Source organism: Homo sapiens, chromosome 16, assembly GCF_000001405.40.
Source record: "Homo sapiens chromosome 16, GRCh38.p14 Primary Assembly".
Taxonomy (NCBI): Eukaryota; Metazoa; Chordata; class Mammalia; order Primates; family Hominidae; genus Homo; species Homo sapiens.
Genome location: NC_000016.10, coordinates 52,337,848 through 52,365,738, shown reverse-complemented (window position 1 = coordinate 52,365,738; position 27,891 = coordinate 52,337,848). Strand labels below are relative to the sequence as shown.

Below are 27,891 nucleotides of genomic sequence, written 5' to 3'. Positions count from 1 at the left end.
TGGGTTTATCAGGGCATAACCTCATTGTAAGTTGAGGAGCACCTGTAATGAATTAAATTTGTATCATTTAACCTGAAATATTTCCATAATGTATTGTTATAGCAGAAAAGCTACATGCAAAGTAGGTATACAATATAATGCCATTGTTATAACAAGAAAAACAGCAATAACAATATAATTCTAATAAGTATATTAATCGTTACTTATATTTGTTTGGTCAGGAAGAAATATATAGAAATAAAAACACTGGGCCCTTAGCATTTGTTGCTGGAAGGTGGGGTGGAGAAATGAAAGTGGGGAGAGAAAAAGAGGGAATAGCAAGATGTAAATAAAATTAAATTATAGAAAAAAATGAAAAACATTTGTAATAAAAATAATACATAATATGATTGCATTTAGGAAAAACTATGTGTATGTTTTTACCTAGAGATACATGAAAGCCTGGTCATAAACATGTTAACTTAGATTATCTCTGAGTGGTAGGATTTCAGATGATGTTTACATTTTGTTTGTACTTTTTTTCCAAAATATGGTCAAATAATGTCATCAGAATTAATGGTTCTTTCTCCACCACCAAGTTCTGCTTTCTGTTGGTTTAATTTTCAATTTCTTCTCAAATGATACTAATCTGTCAAGATATTCCAGACTTATGTTCTGTCACCCAAGGGAGCCCAGTGCAAGAATGCCATGTTTGCAGTAGTTCTAACATGAAGTCCCAAGCATACTCTCCTTGGTCTGACCCTACATCACAATTTACTCCTGAACCAAGGTCATAGAGTATGCTGATTGGCCATGTTTGGGTCACATGCCCTAACCACCTGGGCTGAGATTGGGAGAGTGGAGTTCCCCAAAGGCAACACAATATACTTTTATCAGAATATGGATAAATTACAGGGGACTGTCATCAGAATATGTCCATTCTAGAGGGTGAGGTAAGAGAGAGTTGAGCAATAATAAAAAATATTACAGTGAGAAAAATGATGAACTATGAGAGCATACAGCAGGCACTGAGTGCAAAGAAGAGGAAGTGAGCCTTTCTAGAGAAAGTTATTGTTAGTTAATAGTTTCTGTTTGAATATTTGAGATTTAGTTGCATACAACAGATCCATTCTGATACAGTACATGGTATGAGGTAGTTTATTTAAGGTCTGGGTCTGAGAGAGCTAGGAAACCTGGCATAGATACCATACACAGGGAGAAATAATCTATCTACCCTACCAAATGGCTATTCCAGCTGATCCCTTGCCTCTGCTACTGGTTTAAGCTCAGCACCCATGAAGCTAGGGAGTGAACATGAGAAACACTGATACAACTACCACAGAAGGAAGATTTGCTTACACCATGCCAGAAAAGCCAAGTGTCCTCAGACACGTGCGATATTGTTTCAGCCTTCTAATTTCATAATGATGCATCTACTTGATGAAGTAAGGCTACTTGCAGAACCATAGCTGCAAGAGAGCTAAGGAAATGTCATCTTTAGCTTTGTGGCTTCTGTTGTGAAGAAGGAATGCAAGAAGGTGTTTGGAGTAGCAACAAGTGAGCTATTCTGCATTTTCTGTCTCATTCCATTATGTTTTTTACTCAACGCCATACCTACTCTTCCTATTCCCCTTAAGCTTCCAGAAAATAAGAATAGCATTAATAATATGCTCTTGCTTAATATAATTAAACCTGCCTCTTTAATGAACAAAAAAACCTCACCCTTACTTCTAAAAAAGAAAGACTCAAATTCTTATCAGTCATCGCACCGATTTCCAAATTATGTAATAGACTTTCTAGTCTTAATTCTGTCTTGATACTGGAAAGCTAAAGTGTAATTTGTAAATGTAATCACCGAGTACATATCCCATATGAAACAGTAGGGAAAAATAAAAATAGTTAATATAAATAAATATCTAGATACCAGGGCAAGTGAAAAATGTGGATAGCTTCTTCAGCGTTTGTTTCTGAGATGGGTCATCAGGTTTGGTTGGCATTTAAAACTTCCTTCCTCCATGTCCCATTTCATATTCCTTTGCCTCTATCAGCATCCAGCTTCTTGGGGTCTTCTGGGAGGTTCATTCATTTCTAGGGGTTTGAACCTTGGAAGTATGATCAATTTAGTGTTTCTACCATTTTCCATTAATACTTATCTCTACAAATGTCAGCGCTAGAAACATTTGGGTTCCATTTTATTTTCCCTAATTCCCATTATGTGGCATTTCCTTTGTAATAAGAAAAGATTATCTTAGTCAACACTTATTTTGAAGACCATGAAGTGGCCAGCAGGAAGTCTCATTTCTATTCAATGGACCAACCATTACCTTTGTGGAAGAAAGCGTTTCATCCTTAGGTATCAAGACCCATAAGCCAGCAAAGTCCAGAATTGTGTAAATATAAAGGAAATACTTTTTTAGATTGTGAGTTGTGATAGTGAGAGGAGCCACACATCCTCCCACCCACTGTTTCCTGCTGCTTTGTAGTGTGGCTATGAGAGAAATGACGTCATACATTGGTCTGTCGTTTGTTCAGAACACATATTACCTAGGACAATTATTCAGTCTCCCAAGAGATTGTCGTCTCTAACAGCCTATAATTCCATGGGCCACTCCATCATTCTGCAAGACCAACTACTTCTAGGAGGTAAGGTACTGAGAAAGACAAGTAAAAGCCATGAACATTAGATAATACTTTATTACTTTTGCTATAAAATGAGGAGGCAGCATTGTGTGTACTACTATGATCATGAACAAAGCATTGAGTGATTGCATGCCTTTTGGGATTGTGGGAGACATTATGAACAAAACACAAAACTTATATAGAGAATAAGTATCTAGTCCAGAGGACAAATATCTGTCCCTTCCCAAAGGAAGGGGTCTAAGGTAATCAATTGCCACCAGGCAGCAGGCTGGTCCTCAGGCAGTTATGTAGTGTTTAGGACCCGGTTACACTCCGTAATGGCGATCCCTGAAACTAACTTTGTGCTCTTGAACCTGTGCATCACCTCTGTCTTTGCCACCATGGCTACATTATCCATCAACCCATTCACAAGAGTGTCTGGAAAGAGGCTGACAGATATCTACAGGGGTTTGATTTACCACATGACTATTGAGAACCTCCTACACAATGGGGCTCTTTGCTGAGCTTTCGTATGGGACACAAGTACTTTCATATTCTGGATCCATTTAGAGATGCCCTTTCTTCATTAAAACTGACTTCTTATTGATCCTGTAATCTCATTCTTTTTGAAAGCCTGGACTTCACATCATGAGATTGACTACTTAAAATTCTGTCTACAGGAAAACTTTCCTTTCTCCATTGTCCTTCAAGGCCATCCTTTAGTGGGGATACAAGCCACAGCAATCCATTTCTCACTTGCACCAAAGATTAGACTCGATTTTCCTTCTTAGCCAAATGATTATAGGGATTTCTCAAGAGTCTTGAGGCTGCAATGGGCAGGAGTGAATATACTGAGAGTGTGAGGCTCCTGTGAATAATGTATGCCTTAAAGATCTCCTCAAGTCCAATTCCATAGGTACCACATTTCCTGGATGATAGAATGCAGCACAGTCTTCTTGACACTATAGCTTGGTGGAGCTGACAACTCCTACTTCATGAAGACAGCTCAGTTTGCATGGCTTCTTGACATTCAGGAGCTTTGAGAAAGAACTTCCTAAAAGGAGAGCATCAACTTTCTGAAAAGAGACTGTCTTTGCTACCAACCTCTAAGGGTTGCAACTACCATTCTCCTAACATGTCTTGACTCAAGCCTTATATAGCATCTGAAGCCACCACAAATCAAACATCACTGGATCTGCAGAATCATAAAGTTTAACTGGCTGAGCTGGACTAGCTGGACAGCCTTCTCTTGCTCGGAATCTTCTTATAAATTGTCAGTTTTACGAGTTACTTAGTAATTGCTTCTGGTATTTTCTGCTAATTGAGATAGAGCAAAATGCATTAGACAGATCGATATCTACACAATAGGTGCCAGGGGCTGTATTGATTTATTCCACTAAAAAGACTCTGTCTTAGTGAGTTCAGGCTGCTGTAACAAAAATATCATACAGTGGGTGACTTATACAACAAACACTTTATTTCCCATAGTTCTGGAGGCTGGGAAGTCCAAGATGAAGGTGCTGACAGACCCAGTGTCTGGTGAGGGCCTGCTTTCTGGCTTGTGGATAGCTGCCTTCTCACTCCATATCTCATGATGCACAATCAGCTCACATGGTCAAGAAAAAATGCTCTTATTTCTTTCTCCTCTTATAAGGACATTAATCTTCTCATGGGTGCTCCACTCTCATGATTCTATCTAAACCTAATTACCTCCCAAAGGCTTCACCTTCGAATAGTATCCTTTTGGGAATTAGAATTTCAACATATGAATTTGGGAGGTGGCACAAAGATGTAGGCCATAACATTTCACCCTCCCAAAATTCATGTCCTTCTCCCATGCAAAATACATTCATCCTATCTTAACAGCCCCCATGACTCTAAAGCCTTATGTACAAATTCTCCCTAAATATTATTTAAATCTGTTATGGGTGAGACTTGAGGTATGATTCATTTTGAGGCAAAATTCTTGCCTAGCTGGGAACCTGTAAAACCAAACAAGTTATGTGCTTCCAAATACAATGGTAGAACAGGCATAAGATAGACATTCCCATTTTGAAAAGGAAAAATAGGAAAGAAAGAAGGGGTGATGATGGGCTGGGGGTCTAAAACTCAGCAAGATAAATTCCATTATATCTTGAGGAGTGAGAATAATCTTTTTTGGTTAAATACTCTGTCCTCTGGGCCCACTGGGCAGCAGTCCCACCTCCACAGCTCTGCTGGGTGGGAATTCACACGCCTGTGGCTCTGCTCCATGGTTCCAAGTGGTCCCACCTCTACAGCTTCTGGACATCTCTGTGTGACCTGTTGGGATGCAGGTGATGTTGGTCTTGGGTGTTGGTCTTGGCCTTTGAAATTGAGATGGAGGCATCTGTACTCTCTAAAGGCATGTACACTTTGGGCCTGTGGTGAGAGCAGCAGCCTCGATGATCTCTGAATTGCCTTCAAGGTTATTCTTCCCTTGTCTTGAATAATATTTGCAGCCAAACATCCCTGTGGTCTGGTCTTGTAGAATTTAAGAATTTTGACAGCTTTTTTTTTTTTATTTCATCCTGTTTTTTCTGTCCCCTTTAGTTCAAATGAACAGTGTCTTTGCTGGTATGACCCCATCTCTATTCCTGGCCCCTGTTGAGGTGGCTGATTAGGTTAGTGGTTCATACCCATGCTAATCTCCCTATGGAAAGTTCAATCAGCCACCTGCTTGGTGTTCTTTTCTGAACACACTTTCTTACTTTTTGTTATATGAACAAGCTGAGAATTTTCCAAATTTTTAAGTTCTGGTTTCTTTTTGTTTAACAATTCTGTCTTCAAGAAATTTCTCTCTTCTCACATTTTGTAATAAACAGTCAGGAGGAGTCAGACTGCTCTTTCAACACTTTGCTAAGAAATCTCAGCTAAATTTCGAATTTTATCTCTTTCTGCTTTCCACAAAACATTAGAACACATACACAATTCACCCAAACTCTTTGCCACTTTATAACAAGGATCTCCTTTTCTCCATTGTCCAATAACGTGCTTCTCATTTTTATCAAGATCCCAAAAGTATGGCCTTAACTGTTCATATTTCTATCCACATTCTGTATATGATTATTTATGTATTATCTAAGAAGATGGAAGCTTTCTCTACATCTCTACTCTTTTCTCTCTGAGCCCTCACCAGAATTACCTTTAAAAGTCCTTTCACAGCAATATTGGCTTTTTCTTGCATGCATCTCAAAACTCTTCCAGCCTCTACCCTATACCAAGTTCCAAAACTGCCTCCACATTTTTGGGTATTTGCTGTAGCACCACTCCACTTCTCAGTACCAATATCAGTATTTGTCAGGGTTCTTTGGAGAAACAGATCCAATAGAAGTGCGTGTGTGTGTGTTTGTGTGTGTGCATGTGTGTGTGTATTCACATATATTTGTTCACATTTACCCTCAGTGATTATGGAGGCTGATAAATCCCACAATCTATTCTCTGCAAGCTGGTGACCCAGGAAGGCTGATGCTGTAGCTAGAAGCCCTGAGAGATGGAAAGCCAATGGTATAGATTCTAGTTTGAGTCTGAAGACCTGAGAACCATGAGTGCCAAGGGCAGGAGAAGATTCAAGCCCCAACTCAAGCACTAGGGTGACAGAGCCAGAGTCAAGAGCCAGAGCAAATTATCCCTTCATTTGCCTTTTTGTTCTGCTTAGGCTTTCAACAGATTGGATGATGCCCACCTGTATTTAGGAGGGCAAACTGCTACTCAGTCTATCAATTCAAATCTAATGTTATGTGAAAATATCCCCTCAGACACACCCAGAAATAATGTTTAACCAGATATCTGAGCATTCCATGATCCAGTCAAGTTGAAATATAAAGTTAACTCTTAGAAGTCCACTTCTTGTTAACTTGGCACTCATATGCATCCCTTAAATCATACTTAGTCTCCAAATAGGCAATAATAAGGTCATAATTCCACATAACACGATACAACTATCCTGCATGCAACAGAAAACACATGAACTCCTTCCCCAAAAGAGGAGATAAAGTCTTTGATTTATGTTTACACTTATTCACATCCAGTAACTTAACTACTATAATGCAATATTAACAATATATCCTATATATTTTGTTTTCTGGAGAACTTTGACTAATACAGATTACATCTGGAACAGTAGCTATAATTGAAGTAAAAAACTTACTAAGTTTAGAATAATCCACTGTAATTATTCCAGATCCATCTATCTTCCACACAGATTAAATAGGCAAAGTACATGGTACAATGATAAGGTAGATCTTCTAAGATTTTGTTGATGGCCTTAATCTTGGCACTCTAGTAGGAATTGGAACTATTTTTGGCTACCTATTATTACATGGAAGAGAGCTGTAGGAACTTCCCTTTGGTCCTTCTCCGATAAACCTCTCATTCCGCAGGCATTCTGAGAATATTATTCCTACTATGAACTCAGGAACTGGGAGAATAACTAAATTGGGTTAATGTATCCAATGAACCCACTGTTAGAAGGCTCAGGCATAAACTCTATTTATCAGTTTCAGTCCAACCTTTGGTCCACAATTAGTCCTCAGGAATTCACAATAATTCGCAATAACTCAGTCCAATGCACTGCAAGGGTCTGTGTATCTTCCTTTTTCCACTGCATAGTATAATGTTTGAAGCCAAAGTTTCCTTTGGGGAACAATAGAGGTAATACTTGCAATACATAACTGTGGATATAATTGTAGTCTTCTTCATCAAGTGTACTGGGTTTCTCTTTTATTCAAAGGATTCCGGGTCTGTAAACAGAATTAGGCCACAGAATTGGGTCATAACCTTTATCTTCTGTCATGCTAATTCAAGTTGAGCTTCTAATACCAGATGTGCAATTTTTCAATGATACAGATCAAGTTGGATCTTAATGAACTATCTTAAGAACCCCATGATCAATTGGTCATTGCTAGAGTTCAATGGATCCAACCATTCTGATCATCTCCTCAGTCATGGTGCCTGCCATGATTTAAATGTGTCCCCAAAAGTTCATGTGTCGGACACTCAATCCCCAAAGCTACAGTGTTGGGAGGTGAAACTTGATAAGTGGCGATTAGGACATGAGGACTCTGCCCTCATGAATGAATTAATGTCATGATTGGGCGTAGGTTAGTTATCATGAGAATGGACTTGTAAAAGTAAGATTGGCCCCCCCTTGCTCTCTTGCTCTTGCACTCTCTTACCCTCTGCCTTCCACTGTGGGATGATGCAACATTAAAACCCTGACCAGATGCCAGCACCATGCTCTTGGACTTTCCAGCCTCCAGAATCACCAGCCAAATAAACTTCTATTGTTTATAAGTAACCCAGTCTCGTGTATTCTGTTACAGTAACACAAAATAGATGAAGACAGTGACTATTATTGTAGTCATGCCCATTTTGCTTCCGCTTGTTCTGAATCAGAAAGTCCATTTTAATGGCAGCATCTTGAATTCTCACATTTAGCTTACAGAGTGCAGTCACTGAAGTGTTTCTTAAGAGTCCTGCCACTCCTTTCATCAGTGCGTTTCTCAATGATTTGCTAAACAGAATGTTTTTGAACCCTCTCAAAAGTGGGTGAGTGAACGAAGTATAATAAATTTGCTCAAACATGCCTTTATCTCTATCTTTGGAGTCTTCCTTCTACATTATACTAACGAATTACATGACTATCAACTTTATTTATAATAGGCCACCACTGAGTCAAGATTTCTATCAGCTATTTGGAACCACTCTCATCTGCTTGAGTGAGCCCATTGACTTTAGAATCTCTGGTAAATAAACTAATAGCATGAAACTCAGCCTTATTCAGAATTATGTTATTCCCTCTGTGATGTATGATCTTATCACATATATTTTCCAGGTTTTTTTCTGACCTAATTTAGCATAAGCTTTCAGTTCTTTTAGTGCATCTCTTTTTTTTCCCCTGGTTTTTATTCTACAACTGATGCCTCAGGGCATGTTGAGATCTCACTCTAGTTTTAGTCTGGATCCTATGAGAGGTAGTACATTGAAGCAAAATTCTAATTGATATTCTTGGGAGAGTAAATATCTTATATGATGCAAAATTACAATTGATATTCTTGTGGGAGTAAATATCTTATAATATATCTGTATTGGTTATTCTAGGAGGCAGGGCCAGCTTCATCAGACAGGGAAAGAGGGGCTACTTCTGTTTACAATAAATGGTCAGATTTGGAAGGTTGGAGGTTCTCAGAATTATTCAGATCTTCCCCAAATGTCATGATTCTTGTTCTCAACATCCTATTTTTTCTCAAACATTTATCTAGCCTGTATTCAAGTCATCCAGTGAGGCTGTTTATTCAATCTATGTGAAATTTTGAGCAACCCACAGGATTAGAATTAGCATCTTATTTTTGTACCCACATTATTTTAGGTTAGTCATAGAAACCTTCTGATTTTCTGACTGTGCCTTGAATAGCAAACTTAAAACTGAACTTGTCGTTTTATTTTTTGAGATTGCCAGTGCAATTAAAAGTAGTCAGCTATTTTGGTTATATAGTGCTGTGTAACAAACTGCTCCAAAACTTAGTGGTTTAAAACAGTAACCAGTTCTTCTCTCACAATTTTGTGTATTGACTGGGCTTAGTGGTGACCACTGGTGCTACAATCATCTGAGGGTCAACAGAGGCTGAAATATTTAAGATAAATGACAAAAATGCCTGGGAATTGATAGTGGGTGTTGGTTAAGGGTTCAGGTGAGATTGTCAGCTAAGGATATCTCTGTTCTACTTCCTGTAGCGTCTCAACACGGTTGCTTGAGATTCCTGATAGCATGGTGGCTAGATCCCAAAAAGGAGTGCTCCAAGAAGTAAAGGTAGGTATTATAGATTTCTTAAGGCTTAACCTTTGAAGTTACAAATAATTAATCTTGTTATATTTCTATTCATTGGGTCAAGTAACAGGGATAGACCAGTTTCAAGGGAATGAGGGAATAGATGGGTGAGTGACAAATAACTTGTGATCATCTTTATTCCACCACACCAACCCACTTCATGTCTTTTCATTCCTTGTGCCTTGTAGTAGTCCATAGCAGCTGACACTTAGTCCTCCAAAACCTTACAAGAGTTTCATCTTCTAATGCTAACTGGATTTGTATTGGCTTCAAACTCAACATGTTCCTATAATCAATCTCTTATTCCCGATTTCTTGAAGATTGATTGTCTATAATAATTTATTGTATCACTTAATGTCCTTAATTGCAGGCAATACACTCTAACTAATTTAAGAAGTAAAGGATTTATTATAGGTTATTAAGAATTTCTAGGAGGGCCAGAGAAACAAGATTAAAGGCACACAGCTGGGAGCAAAGAACCCGAGTAAAAAAAGAATAACATAAGGCGGGATATTTTCAATAGAAACCTTGATGGTGTTATCTAACACTGAACACTCAGAAACTAAGGACCAAATACTAGAAATAGAATTATGGTTTTGGCAGAACTAAACATCTCTGTGATGAGTTTGTAGGAGGACTTTACAACTGTGGTCTCATGGATCTCACTTCTGCTTTTCAATTGACTACAAGTAGAACTTTAGCTTCAAGAATATCTTGAAAATATAATCTTGATTTTAGCCCCTATGGAAGGATTCACAACTTCAACACTATTGGCATTTTAGACCAAATACTTCCTTGTTGGGGGAGGTGAAGCATCTTGTGCATTGTAGGATGTTTAGCTGCATCCTTGGCCCCTACTACTAGATCCCAGTAGTGTCAACTCCTACCCTCCCCGACTGGTTGTGGCAATCAAAAGTGTTTTCAGTCATTGCCAAGTATCCTCTAGTTGAGAAGTACTACTCTAGGTTAACAAAAGCATGATAGGATAAATAGGAATGGGACCAGGTAAGATGTCACACTCTGCAAAATAGATTAATAGGGTGTTAGTGTAGTAGAAAAAGAAATTCCATGATATCTAAAAGATCAGAAATACATGCCAGTACCATGGGAAATTTCTTTTGATACAGGAATCTCTGGAGAGACCAATGTGGAAGACAGAGTGATTTTATGTTGTGTGACAGCAGATTATGAGAATGCAATTTTTCACCTAGCTCTAATCTTTACATTAAAACAAGTATTGCAGTGGGACATGAAATTGAGTTGGCCAGGTTTAAACTGGTCATTTCTGATACATTGGTTCATGCTGGTATATTTATTAAGCACTTACCATGAACTCAGTCCTACGAGAGACAAAAGAAAGTGGAAGACATGGGCCTGCTATTAACAACATTGTCAATTATTCATCATGACCTCCATTTGGTGAGAATTCAAGACATGCCAAGCATTGGTGGAACTTCTGTACATATATTACTTTATCAAATACTTGAAATAATACTGTAAGAGATGTACCCTCACTATCTCCATTTCATTCAGTAGTATATTGTGCCCACAGTCTCATAATTGAGCTAGACTTTGAAATCAAATCTATGTTCCTAACCTCTATGTTTGCTACATAAAGCAACCAAATGAGTCTATAGTCTCCTCAGTCACCAGGTGATGTCTTCATAGGTTCAAGTGCAGCAGAAAGAGGGAGGACTTCTTAACAACCCTATATTTCCCAATTGTTCCCACAAAATCCCAATAATGAGTTCTCTTGGACTAATTTAGGTCCCTCCTTAAATAAACCACTGGGGGTCAAATTACAGTGTTTGACCTGGTCCAGTGGTAAGCTGAATCTCTACCCACACCCAGCGTCAATGAGACTGAATAAGGTAGCATGTATTGGAGCTAGTCAGCATCCCACCTCCACTTCTCCCAACTCCCAATGTCCACAAGGCTCAGTGGAGAGCTGAATCCCCACACCCACCTGCAACAAGAAGACTGAATGAGGCAGTGTGAGGCAGGGCCAGTCAGCACTCTGGTTTCTGCTCCCCTTTTATGGGTCTTCACCCCCAATTGTCATCAATATGATGGAATGGAGTGGTAGACCATGGAGCTAATTGACATTTCACTCCTCACAGTTCCCCAGTAACCAGCAAGAAGCAGAACTTCCATTCTTATGCTGTAACAACAAAGTGGCACTTCAACCATCTGTCTCCTTCCCCTCTGTGTCAGTGGGGCCCAACAGGGATCTGAGCTTACACTTCAACTTAAAAGCAGTAAGTTGATTTGAATTGGAGCCTTATTTTTGCCAGGGACATGTCAGTGGGTTGAGGACAAAACTGAACTTTTACCCCATCTGTCTTCAGTGAGGTAGTATTAATCATTTCTTCATTTTTGGGGTGGTGTTGAAGGAAGGAACCCAGGGGAAAGCTGAACACGTTCACCTAGCCCTTGCACTACACTGCCATGAGAGGTCTTCCTTAAAATAGAAGAGTAAATAGAATCTAGAGCCTCATAATATAATATCAAAAATGTCCAAGACATAATACAAATTACTCATCACACCAAGAAACAGGAAAAACACAACTTGAAGGAGAAAAGACAATCAATAGATATTAATATCAAGATGAATTAGGTGCTGGAATTATCTGATAAGGATTTTTGAGCAGCCATCTTAAAATGCTTTAGCAGGCAATTATGAATTCTCTTGAAACAAATAAACAAGTAGAAAATCTCAGCAAAGAAATTAGAAGTTATAAAAAGGGCAAAATGGAAATTATAGGACTGAAAAATACGGTAATGAAAGGCTCACTAGATGGGCTCAATGGTATTGCAGAGAAATGATAAGGGATAGACTCTGTAAACTTAAGGATAGATCAATAAAGTTTACCCAGTCTAAACAACAGAAAGAAAATAGAATGAAATAAAAATGAACAAAGTCTCAGGGCCTGTGGAGTAATAATAAAAAAGTGGACATTTATATCATTGGAGTACCAGAAGGAGAGGAAAGAGAGTAGTACTGAAGAAGTATTTGAGGAAAAATAATGGCTTAAAACTGTCTAAATTTGGTAAAAATCATAAAACTACACATTCAAGAAGCTGGGATAACCCCAAACAGAATAAGTACAAACAGGTCCACACCAACACATATCATAATTAAGCTTCTGAAAAGTAAAGACAAAGAAAAAATCTTTAAAGCAACCACAGAGACAAGGCATTATTTATAGGGGCACACCAATTCAAATAACAGTAAACTTCTCATTTGAAACAATGGAAGCTAGAATTAAGTGATGCAATATTGTTCAAGTGTTGAAATAAATGAACCGTTGACCATGAATTCTATATCTAGCAAACTATGTGGATTTGCTGTGGGGATGCACAGATGGGTGAAGGTTATGCACAGAAAGTGTTATTCACAGAAGGGGGTAAGGCTACTGAAACAACACACGTCATCTTACAATGTAAGTGCTAAAACTATTTTCCAACTAAAATCAACTAAAATATTTTTTCTTTTTTATTTTTGCAATTATGACTGTTTATGTTTTAGAAAGACTTTTGGATGTCTTTCATCACTGACAAATCTCAAAACATTTACCATTACATGTTTCTCTTCCCAGCGTGTGAAATTACCTGCTTCGCTACAAGTAGGGAATAGTTTCTGTCCCAGGCAGAGTAAGCAAGACTGAATGAGGACTGAGTGTGTGTCTCTTTGGGGCATTATATCAGGCATTTTGGAGATGAAATCCTTGAACTGTCTTTGGCCACCATGGATTGCCTGAGCAAACTAAATTTCTGTGAAAAAGAGACTGAATTGAGTTGGATCAGATATTCATAATGATGGCACTGAATTCTTATCAACATTAGACCTTTACCATTCAATGGAAGTAAGCAATTGGTTATTGAAAGACACATAAAAATACTGGTTCTTCTGATCCTGCAATGCAAAGCCTTAACAGTTAGGACCTAAGAGGAGGAAGGGAGGGCCTCAGAAAACAGAGGTGAGAAAGAAAGTCAGAAGCATTAATAGGCAGGGAAAACCGGGAGCTTTGCCATTTCAGCATAGATCAAAAGGCTCCATTTATGTCTGGATTCTGTTTCTTGAAGTTTCTAAGCACCCTTAATCATTCCAAGTTTTATTTAATAATCTTTATCTCATTTAATATTCATCGTATTCCTAAACTGATTAGCCATATATGTTTATACCCATTCCACAGATGAGACAATCCTTATACAGCTTTTACATGGTAGAGCTAATTGGCATCTAAAACTTGAAGCTATTTTAGTATCCTACCTACTCTACTACAGACCTTCGCTATACATGTACATCTCCATATGACTTAAATAGCCCATCCCTACATCGTGGTTCTTAGCCAGCAAAGGGACCCCAAATAAACTTTGTGACTCATTGAGGAGGAGGTAGTTCTGTCATGACTAAATGGATCTTGCAAAGAATCATTGAAAAGAGATCCTTTTCACTCGGGAAACCACAGCTTGAAGGCTCAAAGCTGTGAAAGATAAATTAACCTTCCCTCGGACTTCATCCAACCTGCCAAGCAAACCAGAAATAATTATTTTATGTGGGATGCTTATTGCCGTTCATGTGGCAGGGACTTGATTTCACCATTTAGCAGACCCATCTGTTCCTTCCTTGGCAGGCGCTTATCATATCTCACCTGGGGACCTTGCACTCTCGGGTCTTGATTGCAGGGCATATCTGGGGCTAAGGTGTGGGGTATAGGGAAAGAGAAAAAACCTAGCTTCCCTCCACAATCTAGCTGGAAACATAAGAATAAATGTGAAATGATAAATTCCCTTAAAAGGTATGTTAGTGCCCAGAGTTGATTCAGTAGTATATACTCTAAAAATTAGCAACAAGTCACCTTGGTCACAGCACAGGCCCTGGTTCTATTACCTGTTATCTCTGTGATTTGGGGAAAGTTATATAACCTCTACATGCCTCCATTTTCTCAATTTAAAACGGACATAATAACAGTTATCTCACTGAGTATTAAATGAAAATGGTCTCAAGTGCTTAGTATATAGTAAGTATTCAGTATATGTCAGCTATCCTAACAAAGCATTCAGAGGAGGGAGAGTCGTAGGGCTGGTCAAGACAGGTGTTTTTTGGATTGGAACCACTGCTTTGCTTTTTCTGCTCTGCTCCCACAGCATTGTACTGCTGTGTTAGCCTCACTGGTCACAATTGATTGGTCTAAGCATGGTTATCTGACCAAAGGGTAGCCAATCATAGTTCTTCCCCAGGAAATGTGGGGAATAACCGGGAAAACTGAGAAGACCATCAGGCCCCAGGGGTTGAGATTGGAAAAAGTAAAACTTGGGGAAGACGGCAGCTGAGTTTTCCACCACGTGGTCAAGGGAAGGCAGAATGGGGAGGGTTTCGAAACCCAGATAGGTTTGTTGGCTCTTCACTTGGTAAACAAAGGGTCATTGGTGGAAGTTCTGGAGCAGGGGCATGACATCTTAAAATCAGAGTTTGAGTTAGGACTGGATCTCTTACTCTACCTGAAAATTCTATTTTCTAGAAAACAGTTGCTTTTAAATGATGCTGAAAGTTAGCACTGACTGTAGATGCTGCACAAAGTTTATATTCATGGTTTAGTAACATTATAATCTCTGGCTTTTACCATGTTGACAATATTTTTCTTCTATAGGGAAGTTTCTGCAGTCCTGGCTGTGCCTTAACTACCTTTCTGATTGCACCAATCTAATTTTTCAGACTAGACAATTACCTCTCATTCCTCATGGGGAGAAGTTGCCAATAATTTCTATTTAGAGCAGGAGCCATTTGGTGTCAGGTACCACGTGGCAGCAAGAAATGATGAGCACATATGAATCATCACTTAAGTTCTTGCTGAGACGGTTTTGTTGTCATGATGAGGAATACACATTAAAAAACACCCTTACATCTTCATAAGCAACAAACCAGTTGTGACAAATGACATGCCACTGTGTTCCTGGAACTCCAGTTTCTGACAGAGACTATAAAGAGATAGAAACCATTCTTCTGTCTTTACATGCTTGGTAGGCTGGATGTTGGATCACTCTTGGCTTTGACACTATTTATCTACCTCATAATAATGTTGAGAGGATTAGATGACAGAAGTATCAGTAAAGAGCTTGACAGAGGGTGAATGCTTGACAAATGATAGGAATTAGTATTTTTTAGTGATAGCTCTCTAGAATTTGTTAATTTTGTCTCTTCATCTAGATTACAAATCTTAAGAAGGGATATATGTTGGCATCTTGTGAAGTCTCGGATTATTTATTCTGTACCCTTTATTTTATTTCTTCTCTTTTGTGTTTGTAAGCTCTCTCTGTGTGTGTGTAGCATATACAGGTCGATGAATTTTAACATGTGCATGGATTCTCATAACCACTCCCACAGCCAGGATTCCATCATGCCCCAAGAGCTCCGTTGTGATACTCTTTTGCAGTCAAATCTTTTTTTTTTTTTTTTTTTTTTTGAGACGGAGTCTCGCTGTGTCTCCCAGGTTGGAGTGCAGTGGCGCGATCTCGGCTCACTGCAAGCTCCGCCTCCCAGGTTCATGCCATTCTCCTGCCTCAGCCTCCCAAGTAGCTGGGACTACAGGCGCCCGCCAACACGCCCGGCTAATTTTTTGTATTTTTAGTAGAAACGGGGTTTCACCGTGTTAGCCAAGATGGTCTCAATCTCCTGACCTCGTGATCCGCCCGTCTCGGCCTCCCAAAGTGCTAGGATTACAGGCGTGAGCCACCGCGCCCGGCCTGCAGTCAAATCTTTTATCCACCTTTGGCAACTGCTGATCTGTTCTCCATCCCTACACTTTGTCTTTTTCAGAATGTCATGTAAATGGAAAAATAAATCTAATGTTTTGAGACTTTTTTTCACTCTTCATTAATGTCATCGTAATCCATCCATATTGCTGCATTTATCAATAAAGCATTCCTTTTCTGTGACTGAGTGGTATGCCATCATATGGATGTACCAAAGTTTATGTTTGACAATTAAACAACATTTGCATTGTTTTAGCTTTTAGTGATTACAAATAAATTGTCTATGAGCATTTACATGGCCAGCCTTTACGGGGACATATGCTTTCATTTCTTGGTGTGTGTGTGTGGCAGGGTGGGGGATGGTAAATACTTAAAGTAGAAGGGCTGGGTCATATAAGTCTGTATTTAACTTTATAAGAAACCATCAGAATGTTTCCCAGAGTGGCAATACCATGTTGCATTCCCACCAGTAATGCATGAGAGTTCCATTTGCTCCACATCCTTACCAGTACTTGGCGTTGCCAGTTACATCTTATTTTTAGCCATTCTTCTAGGTATATAGTGGTATCTCATAGCTTCTGCCCATTTTTGAAAATGGAGAAATAATTCATATACCATAAAACTCACCATTTTGAAGTGTACAACTTAGTGGAATTTTTTTAGCTTATGCATAAAGTTGTGCAACTATCACCACTAATTTCAGAGCACATTCATCACACCAAAAAGAAACTCTATACTCATTACTGGTTATTCCCCATTCTCCCCTTCCCAGCATCCCCTGGAAACCACTGATACAATTTCTATGCCTATTTGCCTATTCTGATATTCCATATAAATAGAATCACACGTATGTGGTCTTCTGTGACTGGCTTCTTTCACTTAGCATTAAAATTTTAATGTTCATTCATGTCACAGCACATACGGATATTTCATTTCCTTTTCTAGCTGGGTAACATTCCATTATATGAATATAACATACCTTGTATATTCATTCATCAGTTGATGGGTGTTTGGGATGTTTCCACTTTTTGGCTATTATGAATAATGCTGCTATGACCACTCATGTACAAGGCTTTGTATGGATATATTTTTTCAATTCTTTTGGATGGAATTCTTTAGTAGTAGAATTTCTAAGTCATATGAAAACTCTATGTTGACCATCATGAGGAATTGATAAAATGGAAGTGACAAGTGGTAAGACTAGACATCCTTGCCTGTTCCTGATCTTGCAAGGAAAGCTTTCGGTCTTTCACCATTAAGTATGATAACTGTGGGCCTTCTTACAGTGGATGCACCATTTTACATTCCCATGAAAAATGTATAAGGCTTCCAATTTCTCCACATCCTTGCTGAAACTTGTTGTTTATCTTTTTGATTATAACAATACTAGTGGGCATGAAGTGGTGTTTCATGGTGGCTTTGATTTGTACTTTCCTAATGACTAATGATGTTGAATATTTTTTTCATGTGCTTATTGGTTATTTGCATATCTCCTTTGATGAAATGTCTACTTAAATTCTTTGCCAATTTTTAAATTGGGTTACTTGTCTTTATATTGTTGAGTTGTAAGGGTTTTTTATGTATACTAGAGGCTAATCTCTTATCAGATATAAGATTTGCAAAAATTTTCCTCCATTCTGCAGGTGTTTTTCAGTGTCTTGATGATGTCCTTTAACAATAAAGTTTTTAATTTTGATGATGTCCAATTTACTTTTTTTCTTTTGTTGCTTATGCTTTTGGTGTCATATTTAAGAAATCATTGCCTAATCCAATGTCACAAAAATTTGTCCTTATATTTTCTTCTAAGTGTTTTATAGTTTTTGCTCTTGCATTTAGGTCTAAAATCCATTTTGAGCTAGTTTTTGTATGTGATATGAGGAAAGGATTCAATTTTATTCCTTTGCATGTGGTCAGGCAGTTGTTCCAGCACCTTTTGTTGAAAAGACTATATTCTACTTACTGGATTATCTTGGCACCTTTGTCGAAAATCATTGCCCATAAGTTTATGGGTTTATTTCTGGACTCTCATCTATTTCATTGATCTGTAGCCTATCCTTATAGAAGTCTCACAAAATCATAATTACACTAGCTTTATAGTAAATTTTTGATTCTGGAAGTGTGAGTCCTACATCTTTGTTCTTCCTTTTCAATATTGTTTTGGCTCTTGACTCCCTTTCATTTTCATATGAATTTTAGAATCAACTTGTCCATTTATGCAAATGAGCCATCTGAGATTTTGGTAGGGATTGCACTGAATTTGTAGATCAATTTAGGGAGTGTTGACCATAATATTAAGTCTCCAATCTATGATTATAGGATGTCTTTCCATTTATTTAGATCTTTAATTCCTTTCAACAACACTTTATAGTTTTAGAGGTATGAGTGTTGCACTTCTTTCATGAAATTTATTCCTAATAATTTTATTCATTGTAATGCTATTATAAATGAAATAGTTTCCCTAATTTTATTTTCAATTCATTGCTGGTGTATAGGAATACACTTAATTTTTGTAAATTTATCTGATATTTTGCAAACTGCTGAACTCATGTATTAGTGCTAATGATTTTTTTTTGGCGTGGTATGTCATCAGCAAATAGAGACTATTACTTCATCCTTGTCAATCTGGACGTTGTTCATTTGTTCTTTGCCTAGTTGTCCTGACTGAAACTTCCAGTGCAATGTTGAATCAAAGTGGTAAGACTAGACATTCTTGCCTGTTCTTGATCTTGTAAGGAAAGCTTTTGGTTTTTCACAATTAAGTATGATAACCATGGGTTTTTCATGAATGCCTTTTGTCATGTTAAGGGAGCTCCCTTCTATTTGTAATTTTCTGAGTTTCTTACATGAAAGTTTATGAGTTATGAGTTTTGGTAAGCAAAATGCCATAATGCTTTCCAATCTAAGTTTACTTTTTTTCCCCATGAAACCCTCCCCTAGTTGCTCCAATTTTATGTATGTATGTATGTATGTATGTATGTATGCATGTATGTATGTATGTATGTATGTATGTATTTATTTATTTATTTATTTTTGAGACAGGTTCTCACTCTGTTGCCCAGGCTGGAGTGCAGTGACACAATCATGGCTCCCTGCAGCCTTGACCTCCTGGGCTCAAGCCATCCCCCCACCTCAGCCTCCTGAGTAACTGGGACTGCAGGCATCCACCATCATGATGGGCTAATTTTTAATTTTTAAAATACAGACAGGGTCGCATTATGCTGCCCAGGCTAGATTCAAACTCCTGGGCTTAAGCAATCCTCCTGCCTTGGCCTCCCAAAGTGCTGAGATTACAGATGTGAATCACTGGTGACCTCTAAATTTTTAAATTAGATCCCAGAATTGTGAAAAAGCTGATTCTGTAATCTTATGTCATCTTACTTGTTGCTCAGTGAAGGAACTGATTCTTCATGCTCCCGACCCCATCTCTATGATGTCACTCAACAGTGTCTTTTGCAGAGGAAAAGTTCATAGTTTTGAAGAAATCTAATATATCAAGATTTTATTTTACAAATTATGCTTTTTGGTATCATGTCTAAGAACTCTACCAATACCTCAACTATAAAGATTCTCTATGTTCTTCTAAGAGTTTTATAGTTATGTATTTTTCATTTGAATCTAGACCCATATTTAGTTACGTTTTTGTATAAGGTGTGAGGTTTAGGTTGACATTAATTTTTGGTTGGATATTCAGTTGTTCCAACAGTATTTGTTAGAAAGTATCTTTCCTCTGCTGAATTGCCTTTCTATCTTTGTTTAAAATCAATTGGCCATATTTGTCTGAGTTTACTTATAGGCTCTGTATTCTTTACCATTTTCCTATAAGCATATCCCTTTACCCCATACCACACTGTTTTGATTACTCTAGATTTTTAGCAGTGTTAAAATTGAATAGTGTAAATCCTCTCATTTTATTTATTTTTAAGTAATATTCTATTTTAATTGTTTTGCCTTTCTGTATAAATTTTATAATTAGCATATGTGTATCTGCCAAAAAATCCTGACAGGGTTTTGGTTGGAATGGAATCAAATCTATAGATCAGTTTGGTGACAATTTATATCTTAACTGTATTGAGTGTTCTAATCCATGGATATAATCTGTCTCTGCATTTACCTAGAACTTTGATTTATTTCACAAGAATTTTGTAATTCTCAGTATATGGAGTCTGTATACACTTTGTTAGATAGAGACCTAAATATTTCATATTTTGAAACTATTTTAAATGGCATTACTTTTCAAATTTCAGGTTCTAATTTTTCATTGATAATACATAGAAATTTGATATATTTTTGTAGATTAACCTTTTATCCTTACTGAACTCTCAAAGAACCTTTTTTTCTGGATTCACTACTCTTTATTTTTCATAGACAAACATGTCTGTGAATGGGGACGGTTTAATTTCTTTCTCTCCAATTTGTGTGCCTTTTATGTATTTTGCTTAACTTATTGCATTGAGTAGGATTCCCACTATAATGGTAAATAGGAGTGGTGAGAGTGGGCATCCTTGGCTTCTTCCTGATCTTGGGGAAAAATAGCTTTCAGTATTTTCTTTTTTATGTGGTCAGCAGTGTTTTTTTCTTTTTTCTTTTTTTTGGGGTGCCCATTATCAATTAATAAAGTTTTTTTCTAGTCCCCAGTTTGATGAGAGTTTTCATGTTAAATAAATGCTGGTTTTTCTGCTTTTTTCACACAAATTTATATATCTAGGTGTTTTTTCTTCTTTAGTCTATTATATGATGGATTTTTAAAAATTATTTTTATATGTTGAACCAGGCTTACATTCCTGGGATTAACCCTATTTGATCATGTTGTATTATTCTTTTTTTATGTTACTAAATTTGATTTGCTAACATTTTGTTAAGAATTTTTGCTATGTTCATGATGTATATTTGTCTGTAGTTTTCTTTAGCCGACTTTGTCTGGCTTTAGTATGAGAGTAATTCTAGCCTCATAAATGAGTCTGAGAGCTTCCTTTTTTTTTCTGGTAAAGATTGTTTAGTATTGGAAATATTTTTCTTCAAATCCTTGGCTGAATTTATCAGGAATCTGGACCTGTATTTTTCTTTCTAAGAAAATTGTGAATGAGGAATTTAATTTTTAATAGACAGAATACTAGTCAAGTTATCTATTTCTTCTTGAGTGAGTTAAGGTAGTATGGGGCTTCAAAATAAATTGCCCATTTCATTTAAATTGTCAAATTTATGTGCATAGAGTTATTTGTGGTATTTATCTAATATTCTTTTAATGTCTGTGGTTCTGTTGTGATAATCCATCTTTCGTTCCTGACTTTGGGAATTTATGTCTTCTTTTTTCTTTGCCAATATTATTAGAGATTTATCAATTTTAAAGAACTTCAACTTTTTTTTCTATTAGTTTCTTGTTTCAGTTTCATTAATTTCCATTTTTATCTTTGTTATTTTTTGCTTTGATTTTATTTTGTTCTTCTTTTTTGAATTTCATATGGTGGAGGCATAGACTATTGACTTGAGACTTTTCTTATTTTCTAACACAAGCACTAAAATGTTCTGTTTATTTCTTCTATTTTTGTTTCTCTGTTTTCCTTTCTTGCCTTTTTTGGATTATTGAAATATCTTTCATATGCCATTTTTAATTTACCTATTAAGCTTTTTATAATCTCTTTGTATAATCTCTTAGTGGTTATTTGAGAGGTTAAAATGTAAACACTGCACTTTTTTTCTTTATTTCTTCTTAAAAAAAAACAAGATACATGTGCAGAACGTGCAGGTTCGTTACATAGGTAAACGGAACACTTCACTTTTTATAGATTACTCAGAATTAATATTTTCCCACTTCAAGTAGGATGTATAAACCTTAGCATCATAAAGAACATGTTATTCCATTTATTTTTTAGTTTTCATATGTGCTACATCTATATACACTGAAAATGTCATAAACTTTATAATTTTTGCTTTCAACTTTCATATCTATTTTTAAGAACTTAAGAGGAAAAATATCTATTCCATGTACCCATATGTTTACCATTTCTGTTGTTCTTTCCCCATTCCTGGTCTTTTATGTTTCCCTCTGGGATCAGTTTCTTTCAGTCTGAAGAACTTCCTTTAGTATTTCTTAAAGAGCTGGTCTTCTGGAGATGAACTCTCTTAGTTTTCCTTCGCCTCAGAATGTCATCACTTCATGTTTATTTCTAAAAATATCACTGAATATCAAATTCTGGGTTGACAATTCTCGGTTTTTAGCACTTTAAATGTGTTGTTCCACTGTCTTCCAGCTTCCCTGAGAAGTCTGCAGCCATTCAAATCATTTTTCTTCTTTATGCAATGCCCTGTTTCTCTCTGGCTGCTTTCAAAATGTTTTCTTTGTCATTAATTTTTGGCATGTTGATTTTGATGTATCTGAGTGTGGATTTCTTAAATTTCACACCGTTTGGTGTTTGCTGAGCTTCTTGAATCTATTCTTTTATCTTTTTAACCAAATTTGAGGAGTGAGCCTTTATAATTTTTTTTTCTTTGCCACATTCTTTATCAACTCGTTGTGGGATTCCGATGACATGAATACTAGACCTTTTGACATTATTCTATAGATCTCTGTAAATCTGTTTACCTGTTCTTCCCCCAATCTCATTTCTCACTGCTATTGAGATTTAATATTTCTATTGATCTATCTGTAAGTTCACCAACTCTTTCTTCTGTCATCTTCATTGGTTATTAAGCCCATCAACTAAATCTTTTGATTCCAGTTATTGTGGTTTATTAGCTCTAATATTTCTATTTGCTTTTAGAAATCTTTTCTATATTTTATCTACTGAAATTTTCTATCTTTTTCATTTTTAGAAGATGATTCACCTCAGACCAGCCTGGGCAACACGATTCACCATTACCTTTGGGGGCATGTTTAAAAGAGATGCTTTCATGTCCAAGTCTGGAAATCCCAGCATCTGTCCTGTCTTCAGGTTGGTGTGCTTTGTCTTTTTTCTTCCCAAATGTTGATATTGTTTTGGTTCTTTGTACCCTGGACTTTTTGAATGTTATCTTAGTCACTCTTGCTTTTATTAAATTATATGAAGGATGCTATTTATTTATTTGTTTGTTTTAGCAGGCATCCAACTAGGTTTTGTTCAGGCTACACGTTTCTACGTGCCTCCTCTGAGCTCTTGTTTCAATGTTTGTTAGTCCAGTTTTCAAAGCCTTTGCAGTGCCATTTTTACCCACCCCATGCGAATGCCATGCGGTGCTAGTTTGAGGATGGAACAGTGGTCTACCATTCAGTTCAGTTCTTAAAGTCTTTGGTATGTTGTGTGAGATCAGATTCAGGTATGCATAGCTCAGGGTAAGCACAGGAGTTTATACAAAATGTTTTGGTACTATTCTCTGAAGTCTACTTTCTGTGATCTCCCAAATACTAACTGGGCCACAGGAATCCTCTTTCCTGGTTTTTGGACTTAAAAGCTGTGACTTAATTTCTTCTCTCTGCCATTCTCTTCCCACAATATGTCTGCTTCTGGGGCTAGGTGCAGGATAATATATAGAGAAAAAGAGCAGGGCCAATTAGCCTTACACCCTTGGTATCAGCCTCTCTAGTCTGAAAGAAGTGCTCCCTTCCAACTGAGTTTCAGGCACTTGTCCAGCTTCTGTTGCCACCACTACCACCACCACTGTCTAACTGCCCTGGTGGCTGGGCTGAAATAAAATTTTTTAAAAAAAACAAATAGAAAACAAATGGCATTTTCCTCACTATTTCTTATCCAAAGGACCTCCTCTTTTCCACTCCTTGGACCAGAAATAGAGATTTTTTTGGAATCCTTCCCATTTGCTCTTCATATGAAGTTCTGGATCTCACGATGCCTTCGACTCTGGGTCAGGAGGTACTACAGGGAGGAAATACGGGGAACTCATCACTAACCTAGTGGTACTCAGAGTCTGGTTTTCTGCCTTAACCCGCCTGCTGCCATTTAATTTTCAGAGTACTAGCTGCTCTGAGCATTTTGTTCAGGGTTTTTAGTTTTGTTGAGTGGGAGAGACAGAGTGGAATGTGCCTACTCCGTTTTGAACAAAACTTGAACTCTGTTCCTTATTTGTGAATTTGTGAAAGAGAAAAAAAATCTTTTGAGGCTTTAGTTAAGCTCTAGTGATTTTTTTAATTACATAGAGTGGTAATTAAGCACATGGGCTCTGGAGCCACATACATGGGTTCAAATCTTGATTTTACAACTGTCTATGTGTATAGCTTTTGGCAAGTTACCTGATCTCTTTGTCTCCAAGAGACATCTTTGAATAGAAGCTATTTCATAGGGCCCAGTGAGGGTAGCTCACGTCTGTATTCCTAGCACTTTGGGAAGCCAAGGTGGACGGATGGCTTGAGCTCAGGGTTTCAAGACTGGCCTCGGTGATGTGGTGAAGACCTGTCTGCCAAAAATACAAAAATTAGTTGGGTGTAGTGGCATGCTACTCACAAGGCTGAGGAAGGAGGATTGCTTGAGCCCAGGAGGCAGAGGTCACAGTGAGCTGTGATTATGCCACTGCACTCCAGCCTGGGAGCCTAGGTGACAGACAGAGACTCCATCTCAAAAAAAACAAAAAAAGCCATTTCATAGGGTCGTACTATATGAAAATATAGATATATATTTTATATATAAAAAATATATATTATATATATCATATATACCATATATATTATATCTTATATCTTACATATACCATATATATCTTATATCTTACATATACCGTCTATAATATATCTTATATCTTACATATACTGTCTATAATATATCTTATATCTTACATATACCGTCTATAATATATCTTATATCTTACATATACCGTCTATAATATATCTTATATCTTACATATACCGTCTATAATATATCTTATATCTTACATATACCGTCTATAATATATCTTATATCTTACATATACCGTCTATAATATATCTTATATCTTACATATACCATCTATAATATATCTTATATCTTACATATACCGTCCATAATATATCTTATATATTACATATACATCCATAATATATCTTATATATTACATATACCGTCCATAATATATCTTTTATATTACATATACCGTCCATAATATATCTTATATATTACATATACCATCTATAATATATCTTATATATTACATATATGTCTATAATATATCTTATATATTTCATATACCATCTATAATATATCTTATATATTACATATACGTCTATAATATATCTTATATATTACATATACCATCTATAATATATCATATATTACATATACCATATATATCTTATATATTACATATACCATCTATAATATAACATATACCATATATAATATATCTTATATATTGCATATACCGTATATATCTTATATATTGCATATACCGTGTATAATATATCTTATATATTACATATACCGTGTATAATGTATCTTATATATTATATATACCATGTATAATGTATCTTATATATTATATATACCGTGTATAATGTATCTTATATATTATATATACCGTGTATAATGTATCTTATATATTATATATACTGTGTATAATGTATCTTATATATTATATATATCGTATATTATATATATATTTTATATATATATATATTTGTTTTGTTTTGTTTGTTTGTTTGAGACACCGTCTTGCTTCGTCACCCAGGCTGGAGTGCAGTCACTAGAACACAGCTCACTGCAACGAGTTAATATTTGTAAAGCATTAGAACCATGCCTGGCACACAGCAAGTGATACCTAAGTGTCTGTTATATAAACTGATGTTCATTGGCCCTATAGATTATAAATATCTTTAAGAAATAATTGATTCTTCTGCATTTCTTAGTTTCCTTGGTTTCCAACTTATCATCTGGTTTGTAGAAGGCCACAGAGTAGAGTTAATAGGCCATGGGCATTAGAATCAGGATGATCTGATTTTAAATCAAATCCACAATATGTAGCTTAATGTCAGTCACATATGCAGAGCAATATAAATGTTCCCTCCCCTTTAATTTAAAAGAAAATATACAATGCCTGAAAGCCATTATTCTTTTTTTTTATTATACTTTAGGGTACATGTGCACAACTTGCAGGTTTGTTACACATGTATACATGTGCCATGTTGGTGTGCTGCACCCATTAACTCGTCATTTACATTAGGTATATCTACTAATGCTATCCCTCCTCCCTCCCCCAACCCCACGACAGGCCCTGGAGTGTGATGTTCCCCTTCCTGTGTCCAAGTGTTTTCACTGTTCAATTCCCACCTATGAGTGAGAACATGCGGTGTTTGGTTTTTTGTCCTTGTTATAGTTTGCTGAGAATGATGGTTTCTAGCTTCATCCATGTCCCTACAAAGGACATGAACTCATCATTTTTTATGGCTGCATAGTATTCTATGGTGTGTATGTGCCACATTTTCTTAATCCAGTCTATCATTGATGGACATTTGGGTTGGTTCCAAGTCTTTGCTATTGTGAATAATGCCACAATAAACATACTTGTCTTTATAGCAGCATGATTTATAATCCTTTGGGTATATACCCAGTAATGGGATGGCTGGGTCAAATGGTATTTCTAGTTCTAGATCCTTGAGGAATTGCCACACTGTCTTCCACCATGGTTGAACTAGTTTACAGTTCCACCAACAGTGTAAAAGTGTTCCTATTTCTCCACATCCTCTGCAGCACCTGTGGTTTCCTGACTTTTTAATGATCGCCATTCTAACTGGTGTGAGATGGTATCTCATTGTGGTTTTGATTTGCATTTCTCTGATGGCCAGTGATGATGAGCATTTTTTCATGTGTCTGTTGGCTGCATAAATGTCTACTTTTGAGAAGTGTCTTTTATATCCTTCACCCACTTTTTGATGGGGTTGTTTTTCTCTTGTAAATTTGTTTGAGTTCTTTGTAGATTCTGGATATTAGCCCTTTGTCAGATGAGTAGATTGCAAAAATTTTCTCCCATTCTGTAGGTGGTCTGTTCACTCTGATGGTAGTTTCTTTTGCTGTGCACAAACTCTTTAATTTAATGAGATCCCATTTGTCAATTTTGGCTTTTGTTGCCATTGCTTTTGGTGTTTTAGACTGAAGTCCTTGCCCATGTGTATGTCCTGAATGGTGTTGCCTAGGTTTTCTTCTAGGGTTTTTATGGTTTTAGGTCTACTGTTTAAGTCTTTAATCCATCTTTAATTAATTTTGTCTAAGGTGTAATGAAAGGATCCAGTTTCAGCTTTCTACATATGGCTAGCCAGTTTTCCCAGCACCATTTAGTAAATAGGGAATCCTTTCCCCATTTCTTGTTTTTGTCAGTTTTGTCAAAGACCAGATGGCTGTAGATGTGTGGTATTATTTCTGAGGGCTCTGTTCTGTTCCACTGGTCTTTATGTCTGTTTTGGTACCAGTACCACGCTGTTTTGGTTACTGTAGTCTTGTAGTATAGTTTGAAGTCAGGTAGTGTGATGCCTCCAGCTTTGTTCTTTTGGCTTAGGATTGACTTGGCAATGTGGGCTCTTTTTTGGTTCCATACGAACTTTGAAGCAGTTTTTCTAATTCTGTGAAGAAAGTCGTTGGTAGCATGATGGGGATGGCATTGAATCTATAAATTACCTTGGGCAGTATGGCCATTTTCACGATATTGATTCTTCCCATCCATGAGCATGGAATGTTCTTCCATTTGTTTGTGTCCTTTTTCATTTCGTTGAGGAGTGGTTTGTAGTTCTACTTGAAGAGGTC

At 36.8% G+C, this 27,891-nt stretch overlaps 1 long non-coding RNA gene across 3 annotated transcripts in view; it reads left to right on the top strand.

The window, feature by feature from the left end:
- The window catches only part of LOC107984901 (uncharacterized), an 86,734-nt gene that overhangs the window by 18,002 nt on the left and 40,841 nt on the right, over positions 1-27,891 (top strand). For 2 of the 3 annotated variants that reach the window (XR_001752185.2, XR_001752184.1), the window contains exons 2-4: positions 9,352-9,427; positions 11,566-11,703; positions 23,012-23,130. This is a non-coding gene — a long non-coding RNA (uncharacterized LOC107984901). The remainder of the gene's footprint in view (positions 1-9,351; positions 9,428-11,565; positions 11,704-23,011; positions 23,131-27,891) is intronic. The other variant, XR_001752186.1, reaches the window with a different exon arrangement.